Consider the following 8,479-nt stretch of genomic DNA (forward strand, 5'->3'; position numbering starts at 1 on the left):
AATTGGAGTAAGGGCAGATCGCCTTCATCTACTTTGGGACTAAGCTGGTTCAAAGCAGGTTTTAGGTTTTCTGATGGCTGGTCTATGTTTTATTCATTTGGACTCCCAGGGGTGGCCCTTCCAGGGTCCCCACCAAGGTCCCATCTCCTTCCTGGGACCCAAATTCTCATTAGGTCATTTCAGCCCTGTGAGAGTGCCAAACATTCAGCTAGGCTCTCCAGCCTCTTAACTACCACTTCATACTCAGTTTCTTAGCCTCTTAGCCCTCTACTGTTGACCAATCACCAAATGTGGGAAAGCACTACAGACTGTCAGGATCACCTCCTAGGCCTGGTCACTCAAGTCCTGACTGAGGTCTCCAATTACCTTCCAACAATTGTTTTTGATTGGGGGCGGGGCACATTTTTATCCAGTTTTTCTAACTGCTCTTGTGGGGAGGCGAATCTGTAACAAGCTCCTCTGCCTTTACTGAAAGTTGAAAACCTTCATCTGTCCTTTTTTTGTTGTTGTTGAGATGGAGTCTTGCGCTGTTGCCCAGGCTCTAGTGCAATGGCACGATCTCTGCTCACTGTAACCTCTGCCTCCTGGGTTCAAGCAATTCTCCTGCCTCAGCTTCCCGAGTAGCGTGTGCCACCATGCCTGGCTAATTTTTTTTTATACCTTTAATAGAGGCAGGATGTCACCATGTTTTCCAGGCTGGTCTCGAGCTCCTGACTCAGGTGATCTACCTGCCTCAGCCTCCCAAAGTGCTGGGATTACAAGTATGAGCCACTGCATCCGGCCCATCTGTCTTTTAAAACATGTTTTTAATTGGAGGTATAATTTCTATTAGTGAAATGCACAGGTCTGGTTTACATTTTGATGAGTTTTAACTCATTTAACATTACTATGGAACCCACCTCCTTTGAAGATACAGAGTATTTCTATCATCCAGAAAGTTCTCCTGTGCTTTCATGCTGTCCCGCACTCCCCCAGCAGCTGATGAACATGCTGAGGACATTGGTACTGGATTCTGGCCGCCCCAAAAGAGCCGCTTTGACCAGGCTTACCCAGCACTAAATCCCTGCCTGCTCTCTCAAAATTTCCATCTTTAAACTGGTTGTACCTATAACCCTCCCTCATCAAGTCAATAGATAAACAAACCCTGAAAAATAAACAACTCTTCCTGGCCCAGCAGCCCACAGCCTAATATTTACTGTATTCCCAGGCTTTCAGAAATGTAACTCGCCTGCCGGTTCACCCTCACTAGGGCGGCAGCTGCACGGGAGCAGCTGGGCTCACCCATTAAGCAAGAAGCCAATAGCTGGACAGTGACACTCAGACCCCAGCCTGGGCGAGCCTGGCTGAAAGCCCCCTTCTTTCCATCCGACTGTGGAGAAAGGGGGCGGAGCACACACAACTCTACTGCCCTCCACATCCTTCACCTGTGCTTCCTCCTGGGAGAGGGAGCCGCTCCTTAATTTGGCCAAAGCCTTCTTGAGGGCTGTAGGTTTCACAGGCTGGGTGTGTGGGGGCCACCGTGCTAGAGACAGAGGCTGGTGTGTCAGAAGGCAGCCACCTGGCCAGAGGGGGGTCAACCCCCTTGGTGACCTCCTTCCCCCGGCTGGACACAGTGCCCTGCACTCTCTACATGTGACTGTTCCCCTCAGAGCTGCTTCCAGGGGAGGGGTTCTAATCCTGTGGGTGGGGACATTGTGTTACTTTACAGTGGGCCATGGCTCCCTCTGACATCTCCAACTCAGAGGCAGTAGAGAGAAGATGAGAAATTCCCTGCCCCTCCTCCCTCAGCACCCCCACCTCTGCACACGTCCACATGTGGAGACCCTGACAATGGGCCCTGGGAGTGCCGCCATCTGTGCCTGCTTTCCATGCCTGCAGCAGCCATGCCCACTCTCCAGACCCTCACCCGCCTGGGTCAGTAGACGCTTCACTGCCTGTGGTCCTGCGCCTACACCTGGGCCTCTGTACCCGTCAGTTCCCCCAGTCTGGTTCTTATTCCCTGCAAAGAGTAGGGAGCCTGTAAGGTCACCTGTTGAGCAAGCTGGGGGAGAAAAGTAGGGTGGGGATGGGAGGATCAGGATGAGAAGCTCATGGTCGTGCTGGAGACTCAGCTGAGCAGAGTCTCTGCAGGCCCATTGGCTGCCTAGCCAGTGGTGATCTCGCTCCCACCCTCATTTCTTCTTTGTTAACAAAACCATGACCTCATTAAATACTGGACACCTATAAACCTCATGGACCCTCCTCCAGCCTCCCCACCGTGTACCGGTGAGTCTAAGTCAACTCTAGTCATTTCATTCCTCTGGACATTGACTGCTTAGGGCTTGGGCATGAGCTGCCTCTTCACCTGAGCCTGAGCCACAGGTACCCTCTGCACCTACCACGCTGATGCACTGGGCCAGGGAGAGCGCCGTCTGGATGGAGATGAGCTGTGAGGAGCTGGTGGCTGGGCGGATCAGGTTGTTGTAACAGGTTTTGTTCAGAAGGTCGTCCATCAGTTTCTGCTCGGCATGGGCCATGCGGCAGTCCCCTGGGTAAACACACAGACATGCTGGGCCCTTGTGCAGCTGTCTCCCACTGCAGCTGACAGCTATGAAGCAGGAGCTGAGAGGGCCAGGGAGCACAGACACCCTGAGAGCTGGCTGAAGCAGTGAAGGTGCTGGCCGGCCTGGCTTTCCCTGGGGACTTCAAATGACATTCACGACAGAGCTCAGCTACCTCCTCCCCATGCCATACCTCTTCCTCCTCCTCCTCCCTCCGTCAATGAACAGCATCCCACGCTCTACACATCTGATACAAAACTGGGTGTCTCTTCCTGACTCCTCCCTTGGTTCACCCAAGTGGCCACCAAGTCCTGTCTGTCCTCCCATCTCCACGGCTACAGCCATGTCCCTGCCTCCCCCGCCCTGCCCACCTTCTGTTCTCTCCACCTGCACTCTGCCCCTGCCATCCATGTGCCATACAGTGGCAGACTGATCTTTCTACAGCAAACTGGACTAGGGCCCTTCCCTACCCACAGCTCTCAGAGCTGGAGGTGGAGTTGAAGCTCATGTTTTGGCTTGGCATTCAGAGCTCTTTCCCCCTCAGCACTGGCTTATCCAGAGTGCTCACAGTGCAGGGCAGGAGCCTCGTGACTCAAATGTGGGTTTGGTGCAGAACTGGGTCTGAGGTGGTGCTTTCCCTGTGAAGAGACAGGGCCGACATGGGGGAATTTTCTGGGTTCAAAGTTAGACCTAGAGAGTGCAAAGTTTCTCTGAGGCACCAAATGGAGGGGTCCAGCTATCAGCTGGCTCCTGGTCTGGAGCTTCAAGGAGAGGTCTCAGCTCAGAGCCACATTCAATAGCCAGCTTACATGTGGCCTCCTGAAGGGAGCCCCTGGAGCTTCCACAGCCTCCGTTCTGCCCCTCTGCATACCCCAGATCTCCTGCTAAGTGGCGTTTGGGTCTTCATGTCATCTCCCTCCCATGTCTGGGAGTAAAGGTGAGGTGCAGGGACTTGCGCTTGTGTACTCTGGTGTCTTAAGGGAGACTGTGTCAAGTAGAGTGGAGGCGGCTTGGAAAGAGGGAGACTCAGAGGAGAGTGAAGGACACATGACCAGGCGAGCCTGGGAGCAGGAAAAGAGAGTGAGCAGAGGCAACTGCTGGGTCAGGGGAGCGGATGGGAGGATCAGGGAATGCGGGGGGGCTGGAGAGGTAGGGGTGGGGACGTTGGCGAGGGGCTGCCTGGCTCGCCAGGCTCAGGAGTCAGTTACATCCTCCCACAAGGGCCAGCTCACCTGGTCGCCCCAAAGACCTCCCTCTGTGGGTGGGACCAGAGGGCCAAGAGCACGGATAACCCAATTGAGCAGGACTGAGGCGGACTCAGGTGGGTGCTGGGCCGGACTCCTGGCTGTGGGGAGCAGCCGCCACCCTGCCTATTGCATCCACTTTCCAACTCGCTGCCTATCTGAGCAGATGCGATATTGGGCACCTTGTGAAACATGCTCCTGGTGCACCTGCTGCCTGCTGCCCCTCCTGCAGAGTGCCCGGGCTCTCCAGAGGGGATTCCTATGGAGGCTTGGCCTAGATTCTGAGTCCTGCCTCTCATACCTGGGGCTGCTACCCCAGAGGCCAGCTGCTTGAGTACCCCGGAAGCCAGTCTGTAGCCCCAGGCTACAGCTGGGTCCATCCCACAGCCCTTCTCTAATGTACCTATTTGGACTGGCTGCTCATTTCATAGAGAGGGGTGTGTCTTGCCCCAGACCATCTGGCATGTCTAAGGCAGCTGTGGGGTCAGAATCTGCAGCTCCCAGCCCTCAGCCCAGCAATAGTAGGAAAGGCTGGACCCCACATCTCTGAAGTCCCACTGGGTTGGTGCGAGCGGGCTCCCGAGTACAGGGCTGCTCTGCAGGCTGTGGGGCTCATGCGCCAGCTCTGAGCCCACCTGATGTGCTCACGTTGCTCACCTTTGGGCCTGTCCGGCCTCTCAGGCATTCGGCTGACCCTGAGGGCCTCTCCCTCATCTTGACCACCAGCTACGGGCTCTGATTTAGAGGTTCCCAGAACCTTAGACCATTTGGCCGGCCCCCCATTTCTCACCTGAGGAAACTGAGACCAGAGAGGGATAGCAACTTTCTCAAGGACCCCCAGCAATTCAGAGGCAGAACCAGGTCTAGGAGCCTCTTCTCGATAGAGGTTCCCCCTGTCCCCTGAGCCTTCGTTAGTGCCTCATTAACTTCCCTGTAAGGAAACTGCCCCGCTGAGGCTGGAAATGGTGCTGTCCAGAGTGGTGTGTGCCAGTGACTGTGCTTGTGTTTGTACTTGTGAGTGTGTATGGGGGTGGGGATGAGGGGTGGGAATAAACGGCAGGGATGCTGGGGGCTGGATGCACTCCACCTCACCCCAAAAAGGGGCGCAGGAGAGCCCAGCCAAGCACAGCACATGCTTCGACTTTCCAATCTGCTGAATGCCTGTGAGGCCGGCTGGGCCCAGAAGACAAGGGACAGGCCTTTCCCCATAGATGGCAGGGGGGGCCCAGGATGGGTGGAAGCTTCTGCCGCAGCTTTGGGGGTCACAACCCAGCCCATGGGCTGACACTTAAGCAGAAAAGCCACCTCTAGGGGTCAGTCATAATCTAGTGATTCTGATGAGGAGGGCCCCACCAACCTCTGTCCAGGGTCTTGTCTGGGAAAAACTGCTCCCTGGCAGAAAGAGGCTAATAATTTGAGAGGAAGCCATAGCTGAAACCCTAAGCTGTGTGAGTGCGTGTCCAGTTTGAGAAAGCATATCCGACTTAAACATTTGTATTGAAAAAATGGAAACATATTCCCCTTGTTTTGGAATACAAACTGCAGAAAGCAGCAGTTAACAGAATCTTATCGGAAAGGTCAGATTCTGCATCTGGAAAGGCACAGTGATTTTCAACTGCGGTGTGTGTCCTTAACTGAGGAAGGGAAGGTGAGATTTATGTTTAGTAAAAGGCAGCTATGAATTTACCTTTTATAAAGAGCTTGCTATATACTATTAGTGCTTTTCAGTCATGTCAGAATCAGCCAGATGCCTGTGGAAATGCAAATTCCCAGGCTTCATTCCCAGAGATTCTGGTCCTGTGAGCCTAGGGTGGGGCCCAGAAATCTCTATGGGGTGGTGCAGCCTGCCCCAGGACCACACCAAGAAACACTGCAACTGGCCCACACACATCCCAGTCCACAAATATGTAGGCAGGCATCTTATCTCCACGGAACAGATAGGGAAACTGAGGTCAGAGTGGGGAAAGAAACGTCATGGGGCCACCCAGCAAGTAGTAGCAGAGCCACGATACACCCACTGCCTGCAGACACCATCTCTGATGACAGCTCCACCTCCCCACAGGAATCTTGCCTACCCCCACCCCTACCTCCTGCTGCCCCTATGGTGGGTCTCTGTCCAAGGAAGATGTATCCTAGGTCCTCTAGGCTGACTGCGGCTCAGAGGAAACCTTGGCCCAGAGTGTAGGAGCTAGAGGGGTCCTTGGAATTCACGTGGGGAATTTGAGGCCCAAAGAAGGCAGTCCTCACATTTGAACTCTGTCTGGAGAAGGGCTAGGTCTTCTTCCTGAGTGGTAGTTTTGACTTCACCAGCCTGGCCCTCAGTCAAGCTGGCTGTCCAGGCCCGCCACACCTCGGGGTGGGTGACCAGAGGCGGTGGTGCCATAAAAACACGTTTCCTGGGAGATCCACCCCCAAAGCTCAAAACATTCCAGGGCTGGTGATTTGGGCAAGCCCCCTTCCCTCTCAGCCCAGTTTCCCCATCTCTGCAACAGCCGTGCTGGTGGAGACTTCTGATACTGAGCTGCAGATTTTCTCCTGGGTGCCTACACAGCCCAGGTTGCCGGCTCCTCTGTGCCCACTCTTCAAGAAAGTCAGCTCTTAGGTAAGGAAGGTGCCTTGGCCCTATCAGGAGCAGGAGCCGGTGCACCCCCAGCTTCCCAGGCCAGTGGGGATGACCCAGGCTGCCTACAAAGCTGCTGCCCAGCCCAGAGACACCCGCCTGGGAGGGTGGCCCTGGCCCTTGCAGCGGCTCTGAGAAGAGTCGGCCCCCACTCCAAAACTGGCAGAGCCACCCATGCCTTCCCTCAGCCCAAAGAGGCTTTTAGGAACATGAATCGTCTCAAGTTCAAACCCATGGGGTTGCTGAAAGACAAGACAGTGCAGGGTGAGCTGGTGCGAGGGAGCGCTGCTCGGTGCAGACTTTGCAGGGAGGGCACTTAGGAAAAAGGACTGGAGTCTGGGAGGGTTAACTAGCTTAGGGTTAAAGGGAGGGGATGGAGCTGGAGTGAGCTGGCCTCGTCCTCCCCCTTGGGCCTTCCAGCCTGGGCTCAGGTGATTCAAGGGAGCAAGCACCTCCCTCTCCCAGCCAGGGAGTTCTCGCCACATTCTGCAATCAGTACCATTCCCCTGGGGGCTGGGTGACAGCCCCCACCTCTGGACCTGGCTGGAACTGCTGTCTCAATTCTAGATCCAAAAGAATCTCTGGCAGCTTCTCCATCTCCCTCTCAGTCCAGCCTCACCTCTTCGCCCGTGGAGGAGCTCCAACAGCAAATCTGGCAACTGGAGGAACAAGGCAGGAAGGGCAGGGTCTGAGGAAGGAACCACCTTCAAAAGGCAGCTCTGCCACCTTCTCTCCAGGACTCTCAGGCTTGCTTTCCTATTGCTCCCTCGACATCCTTTTGCTATAATCTGGCATGTTGACGTATAGTCTTTAAAAGCAACAATGCTGTTGACGTGGAGCAGACTTCCCATTTGGGATGGTTTGGAGAAGTTAGGTTTGAGGGCATCCTCTCTTCTGCAAACTGCAGCAGTAATAGATGAGATATACAAAGTAAATAAAGGCTGGGTGCGGTGGTCGTGCCTGTAATCCCAGCACTCTGGGAGGCTGAGGCAGGAGGATCACTTGAAGCCAGGAGTTCGAGACCAGCCTGGCCAATATGGCGACACCCTGTCTCTACTAAAAATGTAAAAATTAGCTGGGCATAGTGGTGCACACCTGTAGTCCCAGCTACTCAGGAGGCTGAGGCAGGAGAATCACTTGAACCCGGGAGGCAGAGGCTGCAGTGAAATGAGATCCCGCCACTGCATTCCAGCCTGGGCGACAGAGTGAGACTCCATCTCAAAAAATAAAAATAAAAAATAAAGTAAATAAAAAAGACATGCCCAGGCTGAAAAATAAGTTAATTATCTCCATGAACGAAAAGCAGACAAGAAATGCAAAGTGGTTGGAGGCTGAAGAGCCTGGACCCTCCTGGGCTTTGGGAACCAAAGATGGTGGCAAGTCCTTTGGGATAAAGAGGGACAAAATGACTCCTAGCTAGAAGCTGGGAGCTTGGGTGTACCCCAGTACTTGAAAGGATGCTAGCTGGGCGCGGTGGCTAATGCCTGTAATACCAGCACTTTGGGAGGCCGAGGGAAAGTAACTCTTATGTCAGTGTGAAGCAAATCAGACAGGACAGGGGAACATGGAGGGGAGGAGAGCCAAACCAGGGCCTGGTTCCAGACCCACCACACCCGCCCCGTTGAGCCAGGAGCACAGGTGGCTCTCTGCACAACATCAAGAGCGAGGACATGCTTTCAGCTCCACTTTAACTCAGGTTCCTAATGTGACAGCAGGCTTGTCAATCCCACTTGCCCCCGTGTCTCACACCAGAAAACTACCAGCAGTGTGAGTAAGGACAGAAGCAGGAGACAGAGGAGCCAGGGTTGGGGAATCCCATAGCAACCCACAGGCCCTCATCACACACGGCAAGGATGCGCCTTCACTGGGCTCACCACCACCACTCGACATCACCTTCACTACATGATACCCTGCCTGGATAACACCACTGTAACACAAGAAACAGGTCTAGAATCTAGCATGTATGCTACACCTGAAGGAGCAAGAGACGGTAATACAATACAATGAAATTTTTAGTTTATTTAATATAAAATTTAGAGCCATAATCAAAATGTGTAATTCTGATGGGATTCACT

General features: G+C 54.1%; 1 pseudogene; it reads right to left on the reverse strand.

The window, feature by feature from the left end:
- Nucleotides 1–3,345: 3,345 nt before the first annotated feature.
- Nucleotides 3,346–4,498, reverse strand: LOC102723634 (WAS/WASL-interacting protein family member 3-like; annotated as a pseudogene).
- Between the last annotated feature and the right edge of the window lie 3,981 nt (nucleotides 4,499–8,479).

This window comes from Homo sapiens, chromosome 15, assembly GCF_000001405.40.
Source record: "Homo sapiens chromosome 15, GRCh38.p14 Primary Assembly".
Classification (NCBI taxonomy): Eukaryota; Metazoa; Chordata; class Mammalia; order Primates; family Hominidae; genus Homo; species Homo sapiens.